This window comes from Homo sapiens, chromosome 13 (assembly GCF_000001405.40).
Source record: "Homo sapiens chromosome 13, GRCh38.p14 Primary Assembly".
Taxonomy (NCBI): Eukaryota; Metazoa; Chordata; class Mammalia; order Primates; family Hominidae; genus Homo; species Homo sapiens.
The window spans coordinates 78,620,177-78,634,407 of NC_000013.11; the positions used below are offsets into that span (position 1 = coordinate 78,620,177).

At 38.1% G+C, this 14,231-nt stretch overlaps 1 protein-coding gene across 3 annotated transcripts in view; it reads right to left on the reverse strand.

Moving 5' to 3' along the window:
* The window catches only part of OBI1 (ORC ubiquitin ligase 1), a 44,867-nt gene that overhangs the window by 5,888 nt on the left and 24,748 nt on the right, over positions 1-14,231 (reverse strand). The window lies entirely within an intron of this gene.

The following is a 14,231-nucleotide window of genomic DNA, read 5'->3' on the forward strand; positions in this document are numbered from 1 at the left end:
GCAATTTACCTTATTATAGAGAAATAACAATTAGGGATAAGTATCTGATGCTATACTTCCATAGAAGAAGGACATGAGCTTATTTATCTTTGGGTTTTAATACTTTTGTATTCACACTAATTCTAGATATTTGGAGTATACAACACTAAATGAAGCTATGCCAAGGCAAGCCGGAGGGATTTCTAATATCATTTACCATACTTCCTCCTTTTCTTGAGTAAATTTCAAAATGGAGTATTTTTATAAACATTCCATTAGAGACCAAAAGGCTTTGATTTTCAAAGTAGCAGTGATGGCCAAAGGCTTCATTGTGCCAGAAAAAACACTGCAGAGCAGTTTGGGAGCTACAATTGATATCGGAACTGTATTCTGCCAGAATCTAACAGAAGCTTAAAGGATTTTTCAGCTTGCAATATTAACTGATACATACATTCTGGATGAGAGAGAAAAGGATGCCAGTTCCCCTTGTCCAAATAGCTCTAAGAGATACAAGATCATTTCTGTCCCTAGTAAAAGAGAAATGGAAGTCCTATTGGTATGACCTTTGAGGTGGTATAACTAAACTAAAGAGCATCTCTAACAACAAAAAGTTCCTAAGACCATATTTTCTCATAGTCTATCACACAGAAAAACAGGACGTGTTTGAAGAAAACAAATGTGGTAAAAGAATACCACACCTGAGTACCAAAAAACTAATAAGCTCTAGTGCTACGCTACTATCCTTGAGCAATTCACTTTGCCTTTCTGGTTCTCAATGGCAATTCCAACAAAATGGGTAAATGCAGCAAGCCCAGTGGGTGGCCAAGACTGCCAAAATTCAGAAATGCCTTCTTGAGGAGGAACAAGGGGGACATTGGGGAAGTCAGTCCACTTGCCTCATCAAACTTTGACTTTATATGTTTCCCTCACTTGGTAGCTGAGGTAATGAAACAAAGCGAAAGCTATCTTTGGACCTGGACCAGCTTTTGTGGTGTGGCCTATCTGACAGGTTTTCAGTGTTGATATCCTTGCTTTATATGGTTCCAATATGCACAAATTTCAGTTACCATGGTTTAATTTACAAGTCACCCAACAATATGGTTCAAATTTCAGTTACCACACCATTATTAATGAGTAACTGCATGAAGTAAAACCTTCACTTCTAGCTTTTCAGTTCAAAAAACACTACATAAATAATAGACGTGCTTCATGATCAGTGACCCATCAAGTCACTTCTTTCAAGGTCAGTCAGTGATTAGTCACTGTGCATTTACCTGTTTTTCAGTTAACATACAGACAGCAAAGTGTGCAGCTGGGCTGCTCCTTGTCTCCCAGTAAAAAACCCGCATGACATTTCACAAAAACAGTTAATAAAACGACAGAACTGGTCAACAAAGATGAAGGTGTAACAAAGAAATAAACAATGATAACATTGGAAGTGAAATTGAAATCAAATGTAAATGTAGTTATGGAAGAAATCACTGACTGTGGGAATATTACAACAATGTCAGTCCATTCAAGAAATTCTAGATATGCCAGAAGCACTTTGTAGAGGCAAACTTATTGACATGGATGAGAAAAGTGGTGGTGAAAAGGATGAAGATGTCTAGAGAAAATGACAGGCTGACAAAACACTTCGCACTAAAGCAATGTGGAGCTCTTTCACGATATTGAGAGCAAACGATAAAATGCTGGAAGTTGATGCAAACTTAGGAGTGTGAAAATTCATCAAGGTATCAGAAATGATGCTAGCTTCATATCATAAATTATATGAGAAGGGAAGCACTATTCAAATTATTCTCCAGAAGTTTTTCACAAAAAAACCACGAATTCTCAATATTTCTCATGTTTCAAATTGTACTACATAAATATCAATGTACTAAATATTACTTTTACTGTTCTTGCCTATCCATATACATATGTAATTGATAATAAGAGTTAAATGTTTTGACAAAGTTGCTAAAGGTCATCAAACAATTGTGATTTTTCCCATTAATTACTAAGACTGCTTTGGTCCATGGCTCATGCCTGTAATTCCAATGCTTTGGGAGGTGAGGCAGGAGGATGGCTTCAGCTCAGCAGTTCAAGACCAGCCTAGGCGACATAATGAGATCATGTCTCTCCAAAAAAAAAAATATATATCAGGCACAGAAGCATGCGCCTGTAGTCCCAACTACTCAGGAGGCTGAAGCTGGAGGATCGCTTGAGCCTGGGAAATCAAGGCTGCAAGTGGGCTTCATAAAGTAATGGTTGATATGGGACAAAACCAAATAAATTTATGTGTCTCAAATATTTTTCTTTAAAGAACTGCCACTTAATCTGAGAAAGAATGATCCATTCATAGAATGGATTTTATTGTGGACTTGCCTGTCTACATAGCCATAGTAGCTTCTCATTTCCTAAATTTCAGAAATATTAGGAAAGTATCTTTTCTATTTTAAACACAGGGAGCTAAGGTTTCAGAGAGAAGAGCTTTCCATTTGCCCTTTCCTTTCTTAATTATATCTCCCAACACACAATCTACCAGTTTCAGATTCTCTGAGTTTCCTAACTCCTCTTTTTGATTACACTTAATAAGTGAGTAGCCTTAACAGGAGCTCTATAGAAATCCGAGTTTTGACAGAAGTGAGAAGAAAAATGAAAAGGTCCTGGTACTGGTATCTATCTTGTGTACATGTGTGCAGGGTGGGTGGGGCACAATTTAGGAAAAGCGGACAGGGAGGACCAGAGCTGTAGGAAACCCAAAACTGTGTTAGGTGGTGGGGGAGAAGGTTCAAAGCCTCTGGCATCTCTTTTCTCTCACCTGCTTCCTATGGATCATTTGTGCATTACCCATCCTTGTATATGTGTTGGGAGGGTAGAGAGGAAACATTCTGTCTTTAAACTACTAGGGAAGTTTTGGGAAGCAACCCATACATTTATACTGTTGCTGAGCTATATAATTTGCCAATGTTTCCTCAAGAGAGTTTTCTCTTTTTAAAATTAAGCTGTCAGTTACAAAATTGCTACATTCCTAGAAATTTGTTAATCATAAAAGTACTATCTATGGTCAATCCTAGTCACACGCGTTGGTTCCACAAAAATGTTAAATGAGATATACTGAAAGAGAACATTTAAAAAAAAAAAAAAAAGGAAAGTGAACTTTTGGCTGGAATTTACCGAAAGTAAGTGTAACAAATACATCTTTAACACTGCATAACTGACTACTATTGACAATGATGATGACAAAAAGAAAAGCAGCTGCCACAATTCATTGTTTACTTGGCATCAAGCACAGTGCTATATGCTTGATATATATTATCTCATTTAATCCTCATATCAACTTTATGAAGCAAGATTCATTATTCTTATTTTAAAAATGAGAAATGAGAAGCTTAAAAGGGGCTTAGCAGCAGGAATAGGATTTGAATCCAAGTCCTTCTGAACCCATACACCATGTTTGAAATCGTATTAAATACTTGAACATAAGGCCCTTCTTAAATAATATCAGTACCTATTTATATTTCATATCAAAATGTAGACTAGATTTTTCTAGGCAAAATGTGTATACAGAGTCAATGAACTAGGATTCTTGTGCTATTTATTGGTACATACATTGGCTAATAGAAACACAGAGGAAATACAAAAATTGTAGGAAGACATATAGTATGTATGCACAAATTCAGTAAACATTTATCAAACCACCACCATATTTTAGGCATAAATCCAGTAATATTTTGAAATTTTAAAAGATCATTTATTAAAGTGGCCTTGCATGAAAGTACAGCATTGACAGACCACCCTGGTAAATGCCAACCCAAATATTTAACCAGAGATATAAAGACTAAGTTTGAAACAGAGCTGAAAGCATAATACTTAAATGTGCTATGTATAGAAAGTATGTATGATAAACTTGCCTGGTTCATGCACAATCAGCAGGTATCTTCAACTACAAGTAAAAGATGTTTTTTATATGAAATGAGAAAAACTAAATGCAAAATTTTAAGGCCTAAACATCACATGGGTTATTTCTCAGGGTATAATTAAGAGAAATAAAAAAATACAAGCTACGTTATGTTGCATCTTAGTTTTATCACAAAACAGAAAGTGTTCCAATATTTGCAAGAATAAAAAATGCCAGAATTTCACCCTTAAAGACAAAGTTGATAAAGACAGGGGAACAAGACAAAGAATTATGCCCTTGCAGTAATTCCTTATCCCTCCATCTTCTAAAAGTACCATTTAAAAATCAAAGTAGAGTTTGCTTTTCAAGTTTTCAAATGAAGAGCAGGGTTAATAATTAATAGCTTATATTATTAACACTATATTATTCATTTATTTTTGAGACAGGATCTCATCCTGTCACCCAGACTGGAGGACTGGAGTACAGTGGCATGATCACGGCTCACTGCAGAACAAAATTTTAAAGGAAATTCTTTGTGTGTTTATCTTATTAAACCAACTATGCATTTGTAGTTAAAAAACTGTGGTGAAAATTCTGAGATGCCTTAGAAATTAATAAAAATGACCTGAGTGTTGAACAGCATATGTGAACTGAAGAGGAACAGACAGCTCCCTTTTGTGGTAAACCTCTAAGGGCTGACCCACATAGTATTGGGTCAGCAGGTGGATAAGGAGAAATACAGAACTAAACTGTGTTCCATGCTGGCCAATTTCACCCTACTTGCTTCTGTGGCAATTGGAACATGGTCTCTGGCCTTCTGTTTGGAAACTGCAACTAGTTAGCCTCCATTTCCAAGGTTTCTTTCCTTCTCTCTGGGCAGCACACTGGGCAAAGTTGCCCAAAACAGGATGCCTAACTCTAAGTACTACTTTCTCTGCATTGCCTGTGAGGACAGACTACTCTTTTTACTGTGGAATAAATTCTATTCTATTTGACAAATATATCTCATTTTGATTCCATGCAGAAATGCCCTCATTTTCTCCCCTCTGCTCCCTTCAACCAACCAAGATCAGCCTTGAAATTTGCAGGACATTAACAGGGATCCTAATCTGTCATGGAAAGGAGAGAAAATTAAGACATGCTATTTCATATCTTTTTATTTCTAAGAGAAATTAAAGGACTTACATCTTTTCCCAAAATAAAATAACCTTAACAACAAAATCTCAATACTGTAAAAGAGTGCAACTACTGTTGAGTGATAAAAAATATACTTAAAAATCTCTGGATTAGTATCTACCTGTCTATACATTTTCCACCTTAACTAAATGATCTCTTATTCTCTCTCAGCATGAAACAAAATCTAAAAGAAAACGAAACACAACAAAAAACTGATCTAGATACCCTGTAATTATTACTCAGATGACAGTTATTGAGGACTAATGTGTGCTCAGGGGCTATGAAGAAGGAAAACAAAGGAAGTAGAAGTGATCATTCCTCTTCTCAAACAGTTCATAATCTCTCTGACAACCTTACTGCTTAGTCATTAGCATGCACTGCCGCCTCCCCAAGTACCTTATCAATACAATAAAGACAAACTGACAGAAAACTGCAGTACCTGTCTATCCCCAATTAAGTGAATATCCAGAGAAGGGTCCCTCAGGCAGCCAAGGGGCCTGAGCACAACTGGCTGTCACAGTCTGGCCCCAGGGTATCATCAGGCTCCCCTGACAGTCTACAAGTTCCCCTTCCGGGAAAACCAAAGGCATAGCAGAATCAGTCATTGGATCAGGCTAGGGTCAAATACTAGGAAATCACCACATTTGTCAGAGAAGAATCGTGATAAACAAAAAAGGCCAGAATAGGTCAAGAAGGGACAACAGCAAGAGCCAGCCAGACCAGCAGTGTTGATGAGGAACCAAAAGGTTAGAGCATTACTAGCACATCTTGAGACATAGTTTAGAAAGAGCAGACCTGTGAAATGGAACTAACTGCACAGCTCAGAGTCAGCATGGAGACAGGTAAAGGAAGGAAAATCTGATTCAAGTAAATAGATGCGGACAAGAAACTCAAGACTATAGCCAGGCAAGTCCCTACTATCACCTCCTCTGTTTCTCTTTCTAACTCTGAATCTCTGGCATAACTTAAAGAGGAAAGCTTCCAGAAATCCTTTGCTCTAATGTGGAGAAAGTTCCAGGAATCTCTGATTTCCTGTTTTCTTACATCCTTTGTACTTTAAGCTTCAAGTATTAAAGTATAAGGACTCTTTCCTTCTGTAAGACTCCATAAAAGGAAGATACACACACATATATACGTATTTTGTACAAATACACAAATGTGCATTTAAAAAATATGTCTTGGTGCCAAGGAGCTGCCAGATTAACTGGGTACGACAGTCATGGAAATGATCAACATACAACACGATCATTAAAACAACAGGGTAGAAGAAGAGTAATCAAAAGTACAAGAGGAAAATGCTACCTCTGTCTAGGAAAATTAGGGAGGGCCTCACATATAAACCAACAACTGGGCTAGATCTCAAAGGACAGACAGGGATTAACCAGGAAGAATAAAAACAAGAGAAGCTAATGTGGAGAACCAGGGAAAATACAGTATGATGAATGTGGGCCCAATGAGAAATTCAGCATAGCCAGAGCAGAGCACAAGAAGCGAGGGGCTAGAGAAGAGGCAAGGATATTAAACTGAAGTTATATAGTAAAGACCCTTTTATACTAGACCAAGAATATTGGGGCCAGGCGTGGTGGCTCACACCTGTAATCCCAGACTTTGGGAGGCCAAGGCAGGCGGATCATGAGGTCAGGAGATCGAGACCATCCTGGCTAACACAGTGAAACCCCATCTCTACTAAAAATACAAAAAATTAGCCGGGCATGGTGGCGGGCGCCTGTAGTCCCAGCTACTCAGGAGGCTGAGGCAGGAGAATAGCATGAACCCAGGGGGCGGAGCTTGCAGTGAACTGAGATGGTGCCACTGCACTCCAGCCTGGGCGACAGCACAGGAAAGAAAGGTAAGCAGTAGAAAGGCTGTTACAACAGGCTAGGCAAGAAATAATATGGATCTAAACTAGTGAAAATGAGAAGATGGATTACAGAGGCATTTTAAAAAGGTAGGCTATAGAGAACATACTAAAGTACTAAAGTCATTAAGAAGGACAGGAACAAAGCGGATCTTTTGCATGGGATGGGGGATTATGAATATGATTTTTTAGACATACACATTCCCCCATCCCACCTCTACCTGTTTTATTTATTCTAAAAAAAAAAAAAAAAAAAAGGATACATGTGCAGAACATTCAGGTTTATTACATAGGTATACGTGTGCCATGGTGGTTTGCTGCACCTACTGACCCATCCTCTAAATTCCCTCCCCTCAGCCCCCACCCCTTAACGGCCCTGGTGGGTGCTGTTCCCTTCTCTGTGTCCATGTGCTCTCAATGTTCAATTTCCACTTATAAGTGAGAACATGTGATGTTTAGTTTTCTGTTCCTGTGCTAGTTTGCTGAGGATAATGGCTTCCAATTTCACCCATGTTCCTCCAAAGGACATGATCTCATTCCTTTTTATGGCTGCATAGCATTCCATGCTGTATATGTACCACATTTTCTTTACCCAGTCTATCACTGATGGTCATCTGGGTTGGTTCCATGTCTTTGCTATTGTAAATAGTTCTGCAATAAACATATGCAAGCATGTATCTTTATAGAAGATTTATATTATTTTGTCTTCCCATTCTTTATACGACACATCATGTCAAGGTAATAGATTTCCTTTAATCCTCATAATAACGCACCCTCATTTTATGTTAAAAAAAGACTTCAAGGTTAATTTATCCAATGTTATTTACTTGTTTATTCATTCAATTATTCAAAAAATATTTATCAGGTATCTTCAGATACTGGGGGCTTTGGAAATGAAGGGGATAGGCAGCAAGGAGCTTAGAGTTTAAAATGGAGCTTAGAGTTTAGAATGGAGGAGACAGACAACAAACAGGCCACGCAATTAAATGAACAAGACAATTTCAGACAGTGATAATGGCTGTGAAGACAATACTATAATATTAATTGCTAACTATGGACTCTGTTAAAAGGGTATTTTAAGTTTCATTTAACTCTTACTATTACTTACAAGATAGGTAGTACTATTAACCCTACTGCACAGAAGACAAAAACTGAGATACAGAAAGGTTAAATATCTTTGTCTAAATCACAGAGCTAGTAAGTAGGCAAGATTAGTGTTCGGTCATATGGAGTCTGGCTCCAAGGTTTGTGTTCACAATCACCATGCTCTACTGTTTTACCCAACCATGATTTTATTATTATGGTCTTCTGTTAAGGCAGTAGAAGGTGCTGAGTGAAAGGGCTGCTTTAGATTGAATGATCAGAAAAGGCTTCCCTTCATCTGAGGATTGAAGGAGACAGCCATGTAAAGATCTGCAAGGAGAGTATTCTAAGCAAAGGAAATAAACACAGCATGTTTTAGAAACAAAGTCTAGTAGAACTGGAGTAGGATGAGATGGAGGAGTTAAGAATTAGACGAAGAAGAGGTGGCAGATGCAGACTAGCCAGTGAAGAGTCTGGATTTTATTCTAGGAAAACACTGAATAGTTTTAAGCAGGAGATTTAAATAATTTTATATGTACTTTATTAAAAGACAGTTTTGAGTATGGTGAAAAATGAATTGGGTAGGGAAAGGACGGACAAAATGGAAGAAGGGAAATTTGAATCCAGGAAGTCTGATTCCAGAGTTAAGCTCTTAACCACCGTGCTCTGTGGTTAATTTGAGGTATAGAATCTCTGGTAAAGGCACAAAAAAGATAGATGAAAACATGAACCTGCAGTTCAGGAGAGAATGTGAGGTCAAAGATTTTGATTTTGTTTTATAATCTCTGACACATAGGCAGACAATTATTAAAGCCCTAAGCTAACTGATTTTAAATTTCATTTCTGATGGCTCAAAAAATACAAATAGAGCAAAAAAGGAAGCAAGCCCAGGTCACAATCAATGAAGTCTATTCCTTCCTCTTCAGAACACTTCTTTTCATATCTTAATAACAGAAAATATTACTTACTGCCCAGAGTATCTAGAGCCTTTATCCTCCCCCAAAAGGAGCTGAGGCATTGCTGAAGACTTGTCCATAATGACAAGCCTTGGGGTTGCTGTACAGTAAAATGAACTGCACTCAGGGAGACATTATCAAACCCATAGATCTCACTAAAGACACAATGACAGAACACATAACATTCCTGCATACATATTTATAGAAAGAAAAGCCATTAATTCAATTATAACCAAGTTTGATATAAATGACCTAATAGTATATCCCATACTATTAAGGTGAGTTAGTAGCTGAGGACAAAAATACCTGCTCTACTAAATCCTCATAATAGTTGGTGACATAGCATGATCCCTGCCTCAAGTGGCTAGAGAAAAAAAAAGTGGCACAACTGAACAGAGACATGGAGAGAGGGCACAGAACTTTCAAATGCTTTACAAGTCAATTCTTCACATCTCTTCAAGTTAAAAAAGTCACTAAGGAACTTCTAACTCTACCAAGGATAAGTATATCCACATAGCTTGGCACAGTTTAGGAGTAGTAATTAAAGTCAAGGGAATTTAGGAATATGAGAAATCCAGTACTTAAGTGTTCCCTTCAGCTTCTTCCCTTTCTTGATGTTTCTTACCATGTGGGGATGTGACACGCTTCACATTCCCCACTAAATATTCAGACTGAGAACAGGCCCTTCTGCTTAGAGTAGAAAGTGGTGGATGTAGTGGAGTCATGCTACCAAACTATAAAAATAGAGGGATGATGGTCACAGTAGAGAGATGTAAAAATTACATGGACTTTTGCTCTGGTAAATTTGAGAAGAAAGCTAGTGTGCTTACTGAGTAGTACCACGATATGTGGCTACTACTACTGGAGAAAAAGGACTGGGGCTGAAGGGACCGCTTAGTACTCCTAACAGCACATGCTGTTTTCTCTCACTCAGAATGCCTTTCTCCTCCCTGAAATCTCCATCCTTCAAAGCTGGGCTTAAGTTCTTTTTGATAAAGATCTTCCTTATCCCTGCAACCTAACCATCATTCTCTGAACCCATACTGCTGTCTCTATTATTTGGCTTAGTATCTGTTAAGCATTTGTTTCATATATTTTCATGTCATGCCTTCATTAACTACTTTTCTGGAAGCAGGGACCATGTTTTGCTGGGGTTTTTTTCCTTAATATAAACAATTCTAACCATTCACAGAAGTAGGGAGAACATAATAAACTCCCATTTACTCATAACACATATTCAACAATTATCAAGATTTTTGTCTTATTTCCTTTGTATTATATCCTTTGCCTTTTGCCAAAGTATTCTATAGTTCATGTTTTAGGATGCATTTCCAAAAGAAAATATGGTGCCATAGACTAAATGTTTGTGTCCCCCATAAATTCTTATGTTGAAACCTAATCCCTAAAGTGATGGTATTTGGGGCAGGGCCAATAGGAGGTGATGGTATAATATTTAAAGGTAAGGGCTTCTGGGGCCTATAGGTCAAAAGGTTCAAGCCCTCATAAGTGAGATTAATGCCCTTAAAAAGATGTCCCACAAAGCTCCTTTGTCCTTTCTGCCATTCGAGGATACAGCAAAAAGACACAGCTGTCTATGAAGCAGGAAGTGGGCCTCACTAGACCAGCTGGCACCTTGATCTTGGACTTCTAAGCCTCCAGAACTGTAAGAAATAAATTTCTGTTGCTTATAAGCCAATCAGTTTAGGGTATTTTGTTATAGCAGCCCAAAAGGACTAACATAAATGGTGTTTTCTTAAGTAATCATGATACCTAAACAAAATTAAGAGTGATTCCTTGCTATTATTTCATTTAATACTTGCTTCATATTCAAATTTACCCAGCTGCCTCTAAAATATCTTTCAACAGTTTGTTACTAATCAGTATGCTAACAAGTCCACATTGCATTTGGTTATTATGTTTCATAGTTCTTTTTTACTGTAAAGCAGCACCCTCCCTCAATGACTTAATGAAGAAACCTAGTCATTTTTCCTATTGAGTATCCCACATTCTGGATTTGTCTGTATGTTTCCTCAGTCATAGGAGTTATGCTTTTTTCATTCATTTACTCAATAGATACGTAGTAGGAGCAGCATGGGAGCCAGAATCCTATAAAATGCAGTGGTTGCAATAGTGACTACATATTATAGCCCTTGCTCAAACAGAACAAAGTCATAAAACAATTACACAAAGTGTTAATTATTAGCAGTTGTGACATTTGCTAAGGGAAAGTACAAGTAATAAGAAATCACAGCAAGGGAACCCAACCTTCTTTAGGGGTCAGAGAGAGTATTTATTTTGTTCCAAGCATCTAGCACAATGTTAAGTAAGAAAAAATTCATTATTTCTGGGTTGGCAAGTGGAGTAAGTCTTCTTCACATATTACTCTTGTAAACTTAAAGGTCATATCACCACCCCTTGAGCTCTGAAGATCAAATCCAAATCTCTTAGGAGTCCAAGTTAGGGGAAACTGAAGGGCCAAACAGGTGGTTTCCTCCAGGTGAAATAAATTCAGAAGCATAATAAGGATTCAGAAAGTGGCTAAATAAAGCCAAAGGAAAAGACTGCATTTTCTGGACAACGAGTTTGGATATTAGGACAAATGAATTTTTGGCAAGGAACAGGATGAATATTATTGAAACCTAGAAGAACATGCTTAGTAGGCTATCTGCCACATTGCTCAAGAGGGCTTTTAAGTTAAAATTGAGGAAGGAAAAATGTCCAGGTACAGTATAGCAGAGGAGACAAATGATAACCAACACCTTCATTTTAAAAGATTATGGTATTGTTTTTAAAAGATTGTATGTAAAATATATTCGTTTTTATACAATACCATGTTCTTGAGACCAATGTAAATCTCCTTTGTTCGTACCAGATTTTAGTCAAGTTTTTGGAAAATAGCATGGTATCTGTTGGAGCATCTTAGAAAGAAATATGTTCTGTGATGGACTGAGCCATGTCCTCACCCTCCCCTCCAAATTCGTATGTTGAAGCCCTGACCTCTAATGTGTCTGTATTTGGAGAAAAGATCTTTAGGAAGCAATTAAGGCTAAATGAGGTCATTAGGTGTTCCTTTAAGAGGAAAAGAGACCAGATTTCTCTCTCTCCCCCAACCATATAAAGACATAACAAGAAGGTAACCATCTGCAAGCCAGGAAGAGAACCCATATCACAACCCGACCCTGCCAAATTCTGATGTGGAACTTCTAGCCTCCAAAACTGTGGGAAAATAAATCTGTTGTTCAAGCCACTCGCCTATAACATTTTGTTATGACAATCTGAGCTAATACACCTTCCTAATATTTTTCCCTCTCTAGTGTCTAAACTTTAAAGCTCACTCTTCTGTATGATTTGTAGAATACTTCTGCTCAACTTGTAGGATACATTGGAGACTAAGGCCAAGTGTATAAAAAAGTATACCCTGACACCTAACCAAGCCGAAAAGAGAAAAATAGTTAGTCAAGGCATTTTCTAAACCAAGGGATTAAAATGGAATGGGTGATTTTTATTTGCTTGCATTTATTTGTGAACTCTTGAAATGTCTTATTCTTTTCCATACAAATAGGAGCTCTCCTCAGGTGAACCAGATCTGGGTATTTTCAGCTGTGGTCAGCTTCTCTCTGAATCCCACTAGGGTTTGGTGATGCAGAGTAAACAAGGCTATAAATCAAATGCAATGCATTTAATACCTCAATGCATTGCAAATTGATCTGGAATACGGTTTTCAGCTCAAATCGCTTTTCAAGTGAACTTCCCCTGAAGGGAACCAATGGAAGTTAAAGATGGAAAAATCCTAAAGTTATATTGGATTCAGATGTGCAGCTCCTTTTCTGAGCGCAGACAGAGGCCAAGTTTCCTCAGGTGAGATTCTTCAGTTCTTTATCCAGTTTGAGCCATGGATATTTTAAAACACACATCCTTGTGGCTGGCATTAAATGTGAAAGCTGGTGGGCAAGTTTTCAAGAAATAAGAGCTACAAACAAAATAGCTTTCGTTCCATTCAGCATGCTGTGGGAAACGGCTAATGGACAAGCATTACTGTGACTGGCAAGGCAAGCTGCCAATAAATGATAGGCATAGAGATTCAAACCACTACATAACAGTAACACTTCCTAAGCTTATTTCACTAATTTGTCAAAGTAGGACATTATCTGAAGTGAAAGAAAAACGGGGTTGGAGAGCACAGGGGAAGAAACTATTTAAACGTAAAAGCCATGCTTTTTTCTCATTGGTTAGTTATCTCTGCCTCCAGTAATTATGGTTAGCTTCTGCCATTTCTTGATACCACATCTGGTTTTACCAAGGGCAACATTTCCTCCTTTTCAAATGACAAGCAGAGAGCTATTTCTGGTAGGATAAATTTCCATTGTTTGCTTATTCCTGCATTGTCTTTTTCCATTAGAAAGAAATGAAGTCCAGTGGTTGGATGGGAAGAAAGTGTGGTGTTCTCATGTGCCATCCCTCAGAGAGGTTGCTGGACATTGGGGGCCATATTGTCTTCTCATTTGTCATCTTTTTTTTCTGGAAAAAGAAGAACCTTAAGTGCTGTCTGCGATCTTTTCTCCATTTGCAACCCTTAAATCCCAACTCTTTCTTAAAATATTGAACAGACAAACTGTTAAGCAGTCCAATGCTTGCAAATTCTTATCTTCTGGAATGGAATAAAAACTACTCCATGGCCGGGCGTGGTGGCTCACGCCTGTAATCCCAGCACTTTGGGAGGCCGAGGCGGGTGGATCACGAGGTCAGGAGATCGAGACCATCTTGGCTAACACGGTGAAACCCCGTCTCTACTAAAAATACAAAAAATTAGCCGGGCGAGGTGGCGGGTGCCTGTAGTCCCAGCTATTCGGGAGGCTGAGGCAGGAGAATGGCGTAAACCCCGGGGGGCGGAGCCTGCAGTGAGCCGAGATCGCGCCACTGCACTCCAGCCTGGGCGACAGAGCAAGACTCCGTCTCAAAAACAAAAAACAAAAAACAAAAAACAAAAAAAAAAAACAAAAAACAAACAACAAAAAAAAACAAACTACTCCATAAGGGAAAAATAAGTTTACTTAATTGTATAGTTTTAAATCAGCAAAAAATTCAATGAACAATGTCCTAAATTCTATTTCAGATAGGCTTTTTTTTAGTGTAATGGTTAAGAGCACAGACTCTGGGGCTGGGCTATTTAAGGTCAAATGATATTTCTTTTTGTTGTTTTTGAGACAGAGTCTCGCTCTGTCATCCAGGCTGGAGTGCAGTGGCATGATCTCGGCCCAATGCAACCTCTGCCTCCCGGACTCAAGTGATTCTCCTG